Source organism: Homo sapiens, chromosome 2 (genome assembly GCF_000001405.40).
Source record: "Homo sapiens chromosome 2, GRCh38.p14 Primary Assembly".
NCBI classification, from domain to species: domain Eukaryota; kingdom Metazoa; phylum Chordata; class Mammalia; order Primates; family Hominidae; genus Homo; species Homo sapiens.
In genome coordinates this window covers 124520671-124537438 of record NC_000002.12, presented here as the reverse complement: position 1 = coordinate 124537438, position 16768 = coordinate 124520671, and the positions used below count along the sequence as shown (strand labels likewise).

General features: G+C 43.0%; 1 protein-coding gene across 3 annotated transcripts in view, besides 2 other annotated features; it reads right to left on the bottom strand.

Annotated features, from left to right (window-relative positions):
- Positions 1-16768, bottom strand: part of CNTNAP5 (contactin associated protein family member 5) — an 895933-nt gene that overhangs the window by 383781 nt on the left and 495384 nt on the right. For all 3 annotated transcript variants that reach the window (NM_001367498.1, XM_017003316.2, NM_130773.4), the window contains exons 9-10: positions 12987-13136; positions 9983-10154 (exon numbers count right to left, since the gene is read on the bottom strand). In NM_001367498.1, coding sequence (NP_001354427.1) covers positions 9983-10154; positions 12987-13136 — 322 coding nt within the window. The remainder of the gene's footprint in view (positions 1-9982; positions 10155-12986; positions 13137-16768) is intronic.
- Positions 3342-3841: an enhancer, noted in NCBI's record as "NANOG-H3K27ac hESC enhancer chr2:125291175-125291674 (GRCh37/hg19 assembly coordinates)". NCBI's record gives its function as "activates a minimal SCP1, AML or CMV promoter by ChIP-STARR-seq in naive H9 embryonic stem cells {active_cell/tissue: H9 hESC(naive)}" and the evidence as "EXISTENCE:reporter gene assay evidence [ECO:0000049][PMID:30033119]".
- Positions 3842-4343: an enhancer, noted in NCBI's record as "NANOG-H3K27ac hESC enhancer chr2:125290673-125291174 (GRCh37/hg19 assembly coordinates)". NCBI's record gives its function as "activates a minimal SCP1, AML or CMV promoter by ChIP-STARR-seq in naive H9 embryonic stem cells {active_cell/tissue: H9 hESC(naive)}" and the evidence as "EXISTENCE:reporter gene assay evidence [ECO:0000049][PMID:30033119]".

The following is a 16768-nucleotide window of genomic DNA, read 5'->3' as shown; positions in this document are numbered from 1 at the left end:
TAGTGACAGTGAGCTGCGAGGATAGGGATGATAACCCGTGAGGCACCGAGGTGTTCCACAGCCCTTCTCTTCCTGCTTTAATACAACCACCTTTGTGATTTTAATGCAAGACAAAAATGCATCATTTTCCACTTCACAATCCTGCCGAAGAATGTGGGGCACCTTCCCACAGCAGGGTTAGAAGTACCACAGTGCCAGGACAGGCCTAATCTCTCCCAATAGACTCCATGAGTTGCAGCCAGGCTCTACCACATATAGGCTGTGTGACCTTGGGCAAATTACTTAGTACCTCTGTGCCTCCAATTTATTGTGTGTAAAATGGAGTTAATAATATTAACCTCACAACATTGTGGTGAAGATTAGTCTCTCTGTCTCTCTCTCTCTTTCTCTCTCTCTCTCTCACACACACACACACACCACACATTGTCACACTGCCCTGGCCCACAGTAACCATTATTTAAAGATTCACTATTAATGTGTCTGGTCTCTCAAGTTTTAAACTGTTTTGTGCACTGGCAAGTTTACTCCGGTTCTGATTTCAGTTCTCTTGCATCCACTGCTGCCAAGACAGCCCTTCCAATATGGGCAAACATTCAGCACTGCAGCCCTTCCCAACCCCAGCTTTACACTCTCCACATGAGAGCCCTTGGAGCACCCCTCCTTGACCCCCGTAAATCCAACCTGCTCTTCAAGTTCCTCAGGAAGTGCTGCTTCCTCTGTAGCCCCCTCCCTGGCCCGCTCTGGCTACCCAAGCCCATGTCTCCTCTTTCTCTGGCCTTTTGGTAACAGGCTTTCCTTATTTATATATACTGAGGAATCAGAAAAACCTGAATTCGAATCCCGGCTTTTCCAAATACTAAGATATGACCTTGGCAGTCACTGAACCTCTCTAAGAATTGGTTGTCTTATGTAGAAAACGGCGATCACCGAACAACGTGGTGGTTCTCAAATTTGAGTGTGCATCCTAGTCACCTGGAGGATGATTAAAACACAGATGCCCCGGCCCCCAACCCACATTTCTGATCTAGTAGAATTGGGTTGCTGTCTGAGACTTGCATTTCTAACAAGTTGCCAGGTGACACCGATGCTGCAGTCCTGGGGGCCATACTTTGAGAACCCACTTGGTAGGCCTTGCAGACTATGGAGAGAATAAAACGAAATAACATTTAGGAATGTTTGCTCAGTAAGTGTTACATAAAATATAACTTTTTTTCCCCTCTGTGAAATAGACCACAAATGATAAATAGTAAAGCAGAAATGATCTTGTTTTGATTTTGGCCCCATCCCATGAGTTAAGGGAGAACAGCATATTGTAACATTTCTCACTTCAGAGTTAGAAGCTCAGATTGTGTGGGCACTGCCCTTCCAATGGCTTTTCTGGCGCCCAATGTAAAGGCTTTCAATTTTAGAGAAGAACTAAAACATATGTATTACCGCGCAATGTAATCTTTTTATATTACCCACTGTTTTTAACAAGCTCCCACACACAGGGTGGGTTTTTAGCAAGAGTCTGTTTATGGGAGGTAATCCAACATAATGCTTGCCAACTTTCAGTGTTTACTGTACTCCAAACCCTGAACCAACAAGGTAAGAATTTTGACCAGAGAGTTCAGTAGACACTTTCTTTTTCTTTTTTCTTTTCTTTCTTATTTTTTTTGTTTTTGAGAAGGAGTCTTGCTCTGTCTGCACTCTGGAGTGCAGTGGCGCGATCTCGGCTCACTGCAACCTCTGCTTCCTGGGTTCAAGCGATTCTCATGCCTCAGCCTCCAGAGTAGCTGGGATTACAGGCCTGCAGAACCACACCCAGCTAATTTTTTTTTTTTTTTTTTTTTGTATTTCAGTAGAGACGGGGTTTCACCATGTTGGCCAGGATGGTCTCGATGTCCTGACCTTGTGATCCGCCCTTCTTGGCCTCCCAAAGTGCTGGGATTACAGGCGTGAGCCACCACACCTGGCTTTCTTAAATGAATGTGTGTGGGAGAAAATACAGTGGTGATGGAGGGAGAAGCTACATTTCATAACTTGTTTGCCACAAGAAATGTAATGTGGTGCTCCACATGGGATCTCCTCTTTGGAAAAAGTAAATGGTTTAATTGTAGAAAGGATTACAGCGAAAAGTCTCCATAGGATGCAAAGGCAAAGACCGCAGGAACAGCACCCTGCTTCCATATCTGACTTTGCCTCCCTCTGTGTGGCCTCCATTTCCTCCTGTGCACAACCAGAGCTGGGGGATCTCCTCGGATCTTCCCCGGTAGCATCACTGTATGAGGAAATGATGAAGGAATGGGCCCGGTGGTCACCAGAAGGCCATATGAAATCAGTGTCTGTCTAATCATTTTTTTATATGTATAGATTGTGAGGTTCAATTGTAATTTTGCTATATGCATAGATTGCTTAGTGGTCAAGTTAAGTCTTTTAGGATATCCATCACCAGAACAACGTACACTGAACCTGTCAGAGGCTTTTGAACCAGAGTGACTGTCTTGAATAGGGGCTAGGTAAAATAAGGCTGAGACATATTGAACTGCATTCCCAAGAGATTAGGCATTCTTAGTCACAGGATGAGATAGGAAGTCAACAGGACTGGTGTCACAAGATACAAGTCATAAAGACCCTGCTGATAAAACAGGATCCAGTAAAGAAGCCGACCAAAACCCACCAAGTCAAGATGAAAGTGATCTCTGCTCATCCTCATTGTTCATTACATTTTTTGTTTTTTTTGTATTTCAGTAGAGACGGGGTTTCGCCATGTTGACCAAGATGGTCTCCATGTCCTGACCTCGTGATCCACCTGCCTTGGCCTCCCAAAATGCTGGGACTACAGGCGTGAGCCACCACACCCGAATTTCTTAAATGAATGTGTGTGGGAGAAAATACAGTGGTGATAGAGTTTACATGGCAGTTTATAAATGCCATGGCAACATCTGGAAGTTACCTTATATGGTCTAAAAAGGGCAAGAACCCTCAGTTCTTGGAATTGTCTGTCCCTTTCCTGAAAAACTCATGAATAATCTACCTCTTGTTTAGCATATAATCAAGAAATAACTATGAGCATACTCAGTAAAGCAGCCCATGTCACTGCTCTGCCTGTGGAGTAGCCATTTTTCTATTCCTTTACTTTCTTAATAAACTTGCTTTCACTTTACTCCATGGAGTCACTCCAAATTTTTTATTGCGCGAGATCCAAGAACTCTCTCTGGAGGTTTGGATCAGGACCCCTATCCAAAACAAACCCATTAAGTAATTTCTCATTATCCACCCCAGTCCAACTCCCTCACTTTTCCATGGCCTATCATTCCACACTCTCTAAGTCTGTATGTCCATGTTATCTAGCTCCCACTTATAAGTGAAAACATTCAATATTTATCTCCTTGTATCTCACTTGTTTCACTTAAGTACCATTCATGTTGCTGCAAAAGTGTCCATCAATCTTTATAAAGTTTTTTAAGCAATACTGGGGAGAGGTGGAGTCACTCCTATTATATAGGCACCACCACCACCCGCAGGCTGTGAAGTATTTTAGAAGGAAAGATCAAGCTGTGACGTTCAGGGGTACCTCACAACAAACAGTTATGCTTGTCAGCAGCTGTAGCTGTTCTAGAACCACACTTTCCTCCAGCCGAAATACTCCTCACTGAGGCGTGCCAGAGGATCTGATCATTTTCCTTGTTATTCATGAAGGCTTTGTTTGTAGTGGGAAGCAGGGGAGGAGCTGAGAGAGGAAGATCAGGAAAGCTCAGAGGCAGAAGAAACTCAGTGGCCTCCTGCAGCACCCCTTGGGCTGATTTCAACACCTCTTTGGAGAAAGGGACTTTGGGACTTTGAGGGAGCTGCAAAAACTTTTCAGAGAGACTCTGGCCAGAAGAGTAGCTGCTTGAGGCCCTAGGTGGGGGCAGGAACCATCCCTCTCCTCCACACCCACATCAGCTTTGCAGATTCCACACAATTCCACGTCCTCCAGGAGCAGAAGCTTTACAGCATTGTTCTCAGAGTACGGCCACCAGGCCAGCCCAGTAGCAGCAGCATCACACACGAATTTCTTAGAAATGCAAATTTCCAGGCTCCACCCCCAGTAATTTGTGTTTTAACAAGCACTTCTGGTGATTCTGATGTTAAAATGCTCCAATTTGCCTATAAGATTTAAAGAGACCCTCACTCTCAGGTTTCTGCAAATGCAGGATCTCCATGCATGCATGGCCCTAGAAGTAGGGGTCTCCTTAAATTTTACTCTCTAGGCTCATTCTAGTCCTGATCTTGAGACTAATGCTTTAGGAAAATCTGAAGACCATAACCTTGGCACCTAAATTTATGAGTGCTTTCCTAATGGGCCATGGCAGGTCTTCTGAAAAAGTGGGACCAAAGTCCAAGGGGGGTCACAAAGCAGACTGATTTGGGAGGGGGGACAAATGTGAAATATTCACATGGGAATCACCCCAGAAACTACTAAGGATCACTTGCAACAGTGGGGGTTGGGGAAAGGGTGGCGGGGCACTTAAGCCTCTTCTCTCCCCATGGAAACTAGAGAACCGGCAAACCTTTGGCCAGAGGAATTAACACAGTGAACATTTACTGAGCATCTACCGCATTCCAGTCATGCAATTGAACACCTGACTTCTCGCACACTCTCATTTTTCTCGCACTCTCTCATTCAACTCTTAGCACAAAGGTAGGTTTTGTGATCCTGATTTTGCAAAAGGGAAAACATGGACAAAAGTTTAAATAATGTGTGTCACATCTCAGACTGTGGGCGGGGTGGATTTAAATGTGTCCTGCTGCTTCTGAAAGCTGCTGCCACTTGCACTGGGATTCTGGATTTTTCCCAGGTATGGCCTCTGCTTCTCCCCACCTCAGACACCTTCCTCATCAGCATCCCTGTTTTTCCCTCCTGGTTTGGCTTCACACCTTGGAGCCTGTCTCCTGTTGATACTCTTGGACAGCATTTGCTAATCTGTCTCTCCTGTCCTGGATCTTGAACCTCACAGGACTGGACATGGCTCCTGGAATTGACTGGGAATCATCTACATGGATGCGGGGCAGAGACTCTTTGAACCTGGCTCACCTTACTCCACTCAGACCCTGCTAGACATTGCATGCCACTCTGAATGTCCCCTCATAGATGGAATTACATCAGGCACATAAATGTTACAAAGAATCTGACATATTGCATATTCTTAAAAATTCAATCTGGTTGAGCATGAGAAAAGAAAAAAACTTTTATGTGAGGAATGCAAGTCCTTTTACTTATCAGGCCAATAAAACATTAAAATGACACCCCAGTCATACTCTACTCCCCCACTTTGAGCTGTGTACTCACCTCTTGGAACTGCTTGTTATTAACCTAATAATGCTACACTGGACACACTAGAACCCACACCCTACAGCTTAACAATACATAGCCAATCACTAATCAAATCTGTAAACTGTAAACCATTGAGAATTCCTGGCAGAACTTTATATCAGTTCACTCCTTGTCCTCCCATTTGCCTTTAGAAACCCAGTTGCAATGGCTGCTAAACTGAGTGTCTGTTCAGGGCAACTTGAATCTGTGCTCCTGGATTGCCTCAAGCAAGCTCGGCCCAAATGAACTCTCTACTTATATTAATTTTGCATCAGCTTTTTCCTTTTAGGTCGACAATTGGAAAATGGGGTTACACATTTAGAGCCACTGACACAGAGTGACTGCCTTTTCCAGATCAGTGCCTCCTTGCTAGATAGTACCAAGGAGAGAATACACACAGTGCTTGACTCTTGATCATAACTTCAGCCCTATGGGACCTTGAGAACACTGACATACGTCTCCAGGTCTTAGCTTTCCCCTTTTAGAAGGTGGGGATATTAGTGCCTCTGGACTCCTAGAGCTTCTAGAGCTTTTACAGCATCATATCCTACTCAGGGATAGATGTAAGTCAGTCTCACTCTCTCAGTGCCTACCTATGAGTCAGAACTACAGAGGGTGTATCAACAGCTGTTCACTGAATAAAGCCTTATTGAAAGTGACTTTTCTTTGTGATAGCTTAGACCAGGGGTCCTCAAACCCTGGGCCACAAACCAGAACCAGTGCTGGTCCGTGGCTTCTTAGGAACTGGGACCAACAGCAGGAGGTGAGTGTCAGGTGAGCAAGCAAAGCTTCGTCTGTACTTACAGACACTCCTCGTCACTCACATTACTGCCTAAGCTCCTCCTCTTATCAGATCAACTTCAGCATTAGATTCTCACAGGCATATAAACCCTATTGTGAACTGTGCATGTGAGGGATCCAGGTTGCACACTCCTTATGAGAATCTAATGCCTGATGATCTGTCACTGTCTTCGATCACCCTCAGATGAGACCATCTAGTTGCAGGAAAACAAGCTCACGGCTCCCACTGACTTTGCATTATGGTGAGTCACATAATTATTATATATTACAATGTAATAATAATAGAAATCAAGTGCACAATAAATGTGTGCTTGAATCATCCTGAAACCATCTCCCCAAGCCCCCAGTCCCTGAATGCCAAAAAGGTTGGGGACCGCTGGCTTAGACTATTGTGTTTTGCCTACTTCAAGTCAAAGAGGCTGGAAAGATGGTTATTATGAAGGACAGGGGCTTAGGGTGTAGAGATTATGAGGCTGGTGGTTTGGCCTGCAGAAGAGGGGCAGCAGCTGCACACTGTGTCCTAGAGGTTTAGAAGGACCGTGAACAGGGCACAGTGTGTGTCAGGAATGCCTTATTCTAATTCCTACTGCTTCCTTCTCCCATCCTGCCCATGGACTGCCAGGCACTGGAGCTGCCCAGTACCAACACCTTCCTGCTTCCAGAGCCGTGCGCAAGGCCAGTTCTTCCAAGTCCTTTCCTCCCAGGAGCCAGAAGATTTGGTAATTTGCCCATCCCTGAGATGCACATTGGTTAAAGTTTCTTAATCCCTGAGAAGAGACCCTTTTAGCTTTTGCTCAGGATGAAGTATCAAAGGTGGTTTGTAAATAGTGCAAACTGGGAAGCAGGTGTCAGGGTCTTAGGCACCACCTCAAAAGGAAGTTGCTTAAAGGACCTCCACCGGAGGGAGCTCTTGAGATTTTGGAACATTTGTGCCTCAGGTAGGAATGCTACTTTATTACTTTATTATTTATTTATGTATTTATTTATTTTTAGACGGAGTCTTGCTCTGTCGCCCAGGCTGGAGTGTAGAGGTGCCATCTCGGCTCATTGCAACCTCCATCTCCTGGGTTCAAGGGATTCTTCTGTCTCAGCCTCCCAAGTAGCTGAGATTACAGACATGTGTCACCACACCTGGCTAGTTTTTATTTTTAGTAAAGACAGGATATTACCATATTGGCCAGGCTGATCTCGAACTTCTGGCTTCAGTTAATCTGCCTTCCTTGGCCTCCTAAAGTACTGGAATTGCAGACGTGAGCAACCGTGCCCGGCCAGAATTCTACTTTAGATGTCTTATATCTGATTTTCCCACGTGACTAGCACTAATACCGTTTAAGTATGTAAGATGCCCGGTTGGGGCCAGCAAAAAACAAAAGCTGGCAGGGCGGGATCCCACTTCACTTTGAGAGAGAAAAAGAAGGGGTAGGACAACCACAAAGAGGCAAATGGAGGCCTGGTTCTCTACAGCCTGCAACAACGGACTGGCAAGGGGTCTCAGAGTAAGAAGAGATTCTCAGATTGTCCTCTGTGGGCTTTCCAGACAGCAGTCCAGGTAAGGAAAACCACTGCCAGCCTATTCCCTTCCTTTCTCCCAGCAAGTAGCAAGCTCCTTGAAGGCAAAGAGTTTGCAATTAACCTGAAATCCAGCTCACGTTGATTAACACATTAAAAATGAAACACCAAATTCAGAAAACACCTGCCCTTCTAACTCCTGCCTCTCTTCAGATAACATTAATTATGAGTTTAAGAAATAGTGACTCAAACACAGTCCCTTGCCCCAGCTTTCCCTTCTGTTAGACACAGTGCCTGGTAAATCAAGAAAAACTTACCACTTACTCACGAAACTAAACACAATCCCTTATTATACAATTAATGAAAGCACAATTGTATGTAATACAATTATACAAGACTACAATTACACAAAACTAATGATGCAGAGTACATGGCAATGACTTTCATGCAATCAAAAATAATGAGAGCTTGCTTGATTAAAAATTAAGGTAGCATAAGAGACCCCTGTTGATAAATGTTCCCTGTATTGATCAACACTTTGGAAGAGGCTGCACTGGCTGATGAAGTAGGATGCTTCTCCCTCGCCATTACTAAAGACTATTGGTCTAGCCAATAGTTGCCAACCATCGCCTGCAATAACTTTTATTCTCCGAGCTCTAAACTAGCACATTTTAATGAAGCACATATTTTATTACTACTTTTTCAGCTGGTCAAATAGAAAAAAAAAAAAAACAAAGCAGAAGAGCCAGAAAATCTGCATGATTTGTTGATGATCCCATGCATAGTGATATTAATGGAGAAATGTGTGTAAATTTTCACCAAGTTACGCAGCTCATTCTAGCGTTAGCAGAGACTATGCACTGCATGGCTGATTTCTGTGCCCCTCAGTAGAGGCACCTGCTACTACTCATTATTCCTCTCCTGAACTGGGGCAGTCACCTGCCTAGTTGTGGGCCAGCTCTCTTCCAATCCACCTTTCTCACTTCTTCTTGAGTACTCTTTCTAACAGGAAAAGCTAGCCACCTTCCTCTGTGGTTCTCACCAAGAGCATGAAACCAAATCCCACTGGTACACAAAGTCCTTCATGACTGGTCCTGCCCCACATCTCTGGACTTATTCACACCAGGTTCACAATCCACAGTGGCCTACCATCCCTACTGAGCTATATATTATTGAATCTAAGACACCATTAATTGTAAGATATACAATTATTTTATATGCCACTATGAAAAATAGATATTGCCAATTCAACTATTAGAGATTTCAAATGCCTTCAAATGCCAAAAAAGTATTTTGAATTGATGAAATACTTGCAATCCATGCTTTCTCCTGCTTCTATGCCAATCTCCCTTCCCCTCTCAACATTGGCCTAGCCTGCCAGTGTCTTCTGCTTTAAGATTCAACTCAGCATCACCTTCTGAAACCTTCTTCGACTCATTCTCAGGGTCAGACTAAGTTGCTGCTGCCATGTGTCTGACAAATAAGGGTGCATTTCTTGGTCATTTATCTAACTTTATTGTAACTTTATTGCTAATTTATTCCCAGATGAAACATAAGCAGAGACCCTTTATCATCAACACATAGGCAAGCACTGAACAGATATTATTCACCCATTCTATAAACGATATTTTGACAAGGGTGAGCAGAACTGGAAGAATGAAGGAGGTAGGCTCTGGAGAGGAAAGAAGAAGAACATGGTAAACCTTGATGCAAATTCAGAATCCATCCTCTTTGGTTTTCTGCAGTGTGTCTTTGCATTTAGAAACTTCTAATATAAGAAGAGCCAGATCCCAGGGGAAATTGAGAGATAAAGTGAGTTTTTCTGATCTCTGGGCCAGAGAAGCAGTGGTAGGGGCAGTAAGAGCAAAAACCAGCCAAACCCAGGAGTAGTTGTGTGTTATTGGGCATTTCGGGAACCTCTGCTGCAGACTTCCCAGATGGTCCAATGCTCATCTGCCTGTGTTAGAAAGGACACCCACAGCAGTGAAAAATGAAATGGTTTAGGAGAGAAGTAATTCCTTCCTCCTTTTTGCTTTAACTTCAAAGTAATCAAATGTTGTTTATGCATAAAATTTTAATCCTTTCACAAATTTGTATTTTGATTTAATTTGCATATCCCATTTACTGCAAGTCAACATGAAGAGAGACTCAACTAATTTAAACCATTTTTTCTCTGGGCCTGAAATCCTTTCAGAAATATTTTCCATTAGGCAACTCAATTATGTCTAATGTGGCTAATGTCGGTGGATTAGAATTTTGCTTAAAGAAACTCATATTTAGAACAGTAAGAATGGGAAGGGGGTGGCAGAACAGAGGAGAAGAGACAATAATTACCTGTCTTTGATGCTACACAGATCAATGTGTAAATCACTAAAATTCCCCAGGGAACCTTGCTGAACTGAAATGAGGTCCTTGGGCTGGTTATCAATAAAGATGAGCCTCATGCAGCCTTGGAAAGCCTTAATGGGATTTAAACATTGGGAATCGGTGAGATTGTCGGGGCACCCTGTGGGACAGAGAAAAAAGATGAAGAAGAATGCTGAAATGATCCGTCATTGCTTTGGCGACCTATTGATGGAAGACCTTGAGGTCTAATTAGTTTGGTGCTTTCTCATTCACAGCAGTGCACACCCTTTTCATTATAAATCCTAGCATTCTCAGGGAGGGGACAGAATTGGTACAAAATAGGGTATACTCCATCACTGTAGAGAAAATAAAAAGCGTGGCAAAGGGAATACCAATACTGTAACATGTGTCTCCTTCTTACTTTGTTTTTCCATTGGTAAACTATTTGCTATTCTTTTATATGGCATCCTTCACTCATCCCAAGGAAGAAATGTATTATAGCTGCTTCAGAATTTTGGTTCTGTCTTGAAACACATATCTAAATGCACGATTCAATTCTGAATTACACTTTCAAAGAAAATTACGCTCTGGGTAAGGATGGCAGCAGAGTAATTGTCTGGTTAATTGTTAGCATTAACAGGCTTAGTTCCTGAGAAAGGTACACACAGGAGCGTAACTGGAATTTTGACGTGATGTGCAAAGCAAAATCAGATGTTTTGCTGGTTTTAGAAGGAACTAAGGGTTTAAATGCATGTCATTTTAGGGCTGTAATAGCATATGGGAAAGGTTAATACTATACCTTTTTAAAGAGTGTTCTTAAAAAATTACACTGATTTAGTGTAGCTTGCAACCAGGGCATATCTACTTCTCATTAAGACAGGTATAGAGCCTTGCAGGTATATGAGTGCTTGTGCTCCATACGAACTCCATCCCAATGGCTTTAATAGGTTCAGAGCATATGGGAATGCAAGCTTGAAACCATGGTAATAACCCATAAATAACTGGGAATTATTTCAGCCGTCTCTAATAGACAGTCACTGCTGGGCTGAAGCCCAGCAGCTGGTTAACAGCTCACAGGCACACTGTAAAATGAAGAGAGATGCTACAACTTCTAATTGAAGCTGTAGAGAGAATTTATGTAAGTTGACTATTATTACTGAAACTCATTTTTCACCTTCCTTAAGTTTACAGTCTACGCGTGGGGCATTTGTTTAAACACTGTTCAAATCACTGATACATCTTCACCTTCTAAACCCAGGGTCCCTTAAAACTTGCCTCTAAGAACGCTTCTTCAACTGAGGGAGGAGAGCCATTTTGTCTCTGAGGCATGTTGGATGCTTATTGTATCAGAATTATTTACAAACATTTCCCTCAAGAATAAATGCAAGATAGCGTTTTTTCCTCTGATGCTGAAATATTGCATAAGATGCAAAATTATTCGGTCTGTGAGGTTATCTTTTCGGACCCCAACACCCTTGTTCTACGATCATTATAATACATTTGTTCCAATCTCTGTTTTCACTGGTGGGCTGTGGGAACACAGATCTGGAATTGAATTCATGAGCTCTATGGCCTTGCACAAATTCTTTCATCTCAGCAAACACCAGTCTTATTATCTATTAAGTGGGGATATTACCTACTGCACAAGGTTTCTGCATGAATTAAATGAGGTTAAGTCATAAAAACTTTTGCAGAGACTGGACGTGTATTCCCTCCCTAAAGGAATTTGTTATCCATGCACAGGTGGAGGACATTTGAGGTAAAGGTCACAGGCCCTTCCTCACCCTAAAATCAAGCCACAGAGATATTGCTTCCCTCCTAGGAGACCTCGATATGTACACTGCACATGTGCAAAATCCCTTTTGCATTTTAAAGCTTTAACCACATTCCATTGGTATGAGAGAAGTGATCTGTAAATTCTATTTAAGAGACTATGCATAATTTTATACAATACTTCTCTTCAATTTACTAATAGGAAAAAAATAAGGAAACTGTAGACCAGACCCTGACTTATATCTATAGGAGCTGGAGCCAGTTTCCCCATCCCCTGCCATGTGGCACACTCTGCCATATGCTTACACCTTGGTCGTACTTAACTTTTCCAGAAATTCTGGAGGTGAGCTTATTTCCCCGTGTTTCAGATTAGGAAGTTTAGGGACTATAAGTATCTTTCTCAAGGTCAGACAGCTATTGAGGTTAAATCCTTTTCAGAGACTGTTTCTATAATACAAACAACTATGAAATTAGATATTAATTTTTAATGAAAAATACTTTTGAAAGACTAAATACATATATATAGATATGCATTTATAAAAAATCAGTAGATGCCTAATTATGTTTTTCTTCACCATCAGCTTGCCCTTGTGTTTTTGTCATTGGAAAGGTTCCCAGGACTCACTTAACATCAGAGAAGGCAGAATGTGAATAATCTGAACTGGCTTCTACACCTGGAGTTACAAATTCATGGGCCTCCTAATTCCTCCTCATTCCTGGATTTCTGCGAGCATGGCCTCTAGGGATGTGGGGAAGGAGGGGACAGGAGACTAAGAGAGGAAAGTGGCAGAGGAAGGGCCTGGGTGCTAAGCATGCTGATTGTGCCTTTCCACCTGAATTTTGCCTCTTGCAGGTACTGCTGACTCTTGATACACTTTCTCCAAGTTTTCAGCTGAGTTTCTCCTTTCCCATGTGATTACAGGGCTTGGCATGGCTACAAAAATCTCCTTTGGATGTGTTATATAACACCAGCTCTTGTAGCTAAAGTTCTTTTCTTCCTCAGCACTGACCTAGATAATTTATATTTGCACACAGCTGTGAGAGATTTTGCTTCTCACTATTTTGAGATTGAGGGTGTGTGTGTATGTGCATGTGTGTGTGTGTTTGTGTGTTGGGAGAATTGTCTAATTGACCAAACCAGAACCATCATAGTGAAATAATTGCCCACTTAAATTTCCCTCCCTTCTTAATTTTCCCTCTTAAAGACTGGAGAATTTACCTCCAAAATAGTAGCTATTTCCAGAATAAATCTGCACCCAAGTGCTGTCTGGAGCCGGGGGTGCTGCTTCATCATCCAGAGTGAGCGTGATGCGGTTCCTCCTGGCGTTGATGCTAACCGAGTGCCACAGGCCATCATTCAAGTTGCTGCCTGCAAGAGAAACAAGAGAGTAAGCATAGAGATGATGGGTCCAGAAGACTTAGAGAGAGGGGGCTCATTTCCCAGCCTGCTGCCGTCCATGCCATTCTCAGAGCAAACCCACTCCTCACTCGGCTGGATACAAGCCCTTGGAAGATTCATAAAAAGCATTGTTCTTCCTCTTCTTGCCACTTCATTCTAATCTCTTTTTTAAAAAAGACGGCTGAACTACTTCTGATATGTTTTGTTTTAAAACAAAAGGGAAAAATACAAAATGTTGTACACACCACAACCAAAGTTATGTCACGTATTCTGATCTATTGTTGTATAAACGCAGAGGAAAAAAAAAAAACAAAAATAAACGAACTCAAAATATTACCAGCAATTTTAACTGAGTGGTAGAGTTAAGAGCAATTTTGGTTTTCTCATACTTTCCTACAATTTTAGGAAAAAGTAAGCTATTTTTAAAGTAGATGAGGAAAGCTAGATTCCAATGATGTGCCAGGCAGAGGCAGCCTCCTGTTGGAGAGAGGTAACATATAATCCAATTGCAGCGTTTTTCATACTAATTAGGAGACATTGTCAAAGTTACTCACTTTCATTAAGCTCTGATTTTATCATCTGTAAATATTATGATTCCTATTCCTTATTATTGTTAAAGGGATCAAATGAAATGAGGCACGACACTCTCTAAAGGCACTGGGAGAAAGGTGGGTGCTTTTGTAAGGTTCTTTTCTCTCCTATTCCATTGCTCCAGCTGTCTTTGCTGTACCCTGTGCTGCTGACCTACCTTACTGAAAAAACTGTTTTGGGAACTAGTCATGAGGTTTCAACTATTTCCTTTAAAGAGTTTATCATCTATTAAGACTGTGTCCTGGTGGTGTAAAGTGCTTGCTGAGAAAATAAAGTCATATTAACTGATTGGTCACAAAGACTTTCTGTGGCAAGAGCACACAGCCACACAATTCTAAATTGTAAATAGTCATTTATTGTGCCCTGTTACATGTTGAGTTGTCTTTCCTCTCATTGTGTCAGTTTCCTCGCTTGCAAAGAGGACAATGTTTGTACTTAACAGGCCATTGTGAGAATTACGCCAGTTAGTCCAGCAGTGTATGCAGAATAGTTCATTTCAATCATATGTGGGCAGTCATATTAGCTTAAAAAATGAACAGAGCTGCAAATACGAGATGGTCTTTGTCATTAGAGGGTATGGATATTAACATCACATGATCTCTACCCTAGGGTAGTCCATTGTTAAAAGGCAGAGACATATGCAAGGAGGATTAAAATAACGTCTTTTGAGTTCAGGCTAGTGGGGTAGACAGAGAAGTAAGCAAACAACACCACCTCTTGCAATTCTGGGTGGAACAGCAATATGTGAGCAGAGAAGAAAGAAAGCCTAACTAACTCCATGTGAGGATCCCAAGAATGTTTCATTGAAGTGGATGACAGTTAAGGGGAGTCGTGGAAAGTGAGCAAGAGTTTGTAATTCTTGGAGCAAGGGTTCCAGGAGACAGAGAGCCTGTATAAAGAAACAAAGGTCTGGACTGAGAAGCAGGAGATGACAATATGAAGGCAGCTAGAAAGAGGATCCAATCACCCAGAGGTCTCACATACCAGGAGGACTTTAAACAATATCCTTTGACAAATTATTCTGAAGAGCACTTTTCCCAAACCAATTCCATCAGCATCTCTGGGCATGGGCCCCAGGCATCCGCATTTTTTCAAAAGCTCCTTGGGTGGTTCTAATGTGCAGCCAGAGATGAAAATTACAGCTTTAGAACATGGGACTCCATGAGGGCTCTCTAGGATGGTAATATCAGGGTGGGAGGTGTTTATTCAAAGAATCAGCCAGCACAAGAGCCAATGATAGCAGCTGGAAGGGGTCAAGGCTAGAGGCAGAACTCACAGGTCCTACTGCTTGCAGAGTCCCCAGGAGGCGGAATGAGAGGATCTCACCAAAAGTAGCAGCAGTGAAAATGCAAAGTAAGTGATGGATTCAGAGCTATTTCTGCAGGTAAAATAGACCTGCCTTGGTAGAGCCTACCAGAGCAGCCCCAAAGCAGCCAGCTGGGAAGAAAACACTGAGGATCACCACAGAGGTGTGCCAGACCGTCAGAGTGGCAAGTGAAGAGCCGGTACCCCTGAGCTCCCAGTTGGCTGGAGAGGCTGCCCTGGGAGAAACAAGCACCAGGCTTGGAGCCCAGCTGTATTTGCACCTGGGCAGCTGTGACCCATCTGCTCAGAGCATCCCAGATGTAGGACACCTGATGTGTTTTCAGCCAGATCTCTCAAGCCAGATCACTGCAATCCTGAACATCTGCTTGGGGTGAAGAAGAGAACCCAGAGGCTTCTCAGCCTGGTGGCCCCACTTCCTCCCAAAGGCAGTTGTCCTCAGACAAGACCAGGGTTTGTGTCCTGGCCACAGGGATTCTGCTAATGAGACAGAGAATCTGTCAGGTGTGTCTTGGTGAACATTTGACTTCTTTCAGGGGTATTTGGGGAGCACAGTCAATTGTAAGTCCTTTTTAAAAACTTTCACTTGCATACTCATTTGAATACATCTGCATAACATATGGGACTGCATTTGCAGGTAAACTCTAGACTGGAAGGGAGTTAGTAACTAGTTCAGAATAAAAGTTCTAAATACTCCCTAAAGGCCAAGCACCCTGCTAGGCATCAGTGATACAGTAGAGAAGAATGTATTTATAGAGGCCACAGTGAGTGTCCCCTCGAATTAGGTATCTATCATGTATTCATGTTACAGATGGCACTGGCCTGAGGGGAGAGGTCTGCTCAATGGGAGTCTGTAGGATCATCTGTTGTGATTGTGGGTCCTGTCCTCTCCCCACATCGCCATCTATGTCTCTCTTTCAAGTTTTCACATAATGAGGGTTTGCTTGGTTGGTGGTTTTCTTTTTTTCTTTTTATTTTTTGGTCTGCCCTTTCTTTAATTTGGTCTTTTCCTACATGTTCCCCAATGCCTGCAGTGGGAGCCTGGGTGAAAAGTTTAGCTCTGTGGAGGAAAATTATTAGAACAATAGTTCTCAATGCAGGTATTGCCTGGGGAGCTTTTGAAAATACAGAACCTGGGGCTCACTCCAGGTTAATTAAGTCAGATTTCTGGGGATTATCCCAGGACTTGGAAGGTTCAAAGGTCCCTTGGATTCTGTTTGCAGCCAGGGTCAGGAGCCATGTCATTGGAGGTGTCAGAAGAGAAAGGAAAGAAGCTGGGAAATTGGGACCCGCCCAGGAGAGCTGCCCAGGCATGGGTTTCAAGGCAAGTGAAGTGGTACATCCCCAGCTAAAAATCTCCACTTTCACCTGGTCCTCGTTTTCACTTCATTCTGTTAACAGATCCAAAATAACATCCCTAGAGACTCTCTGAGGTATTGTTATTAAAAATACTCTCTTAAAGGTAAAAGTGGAAGTGCTATTAATTATTCACAAGTTAGGGAGAAATCACCTTATGAGATTGCTTTTTTCCCAAACTTCCTTGAGATAAATGGCTTTGAAAGAATAGACGTGTCCAATGAGGAGAACAGGAAAGCAACACCTTTTAGGCCGAGAATGTCTTGATGGGGGAAAAAAATTATCTTAGGAGAGACGAGCAGGATATTGAGGGCCAATATGGGGCACTAAGC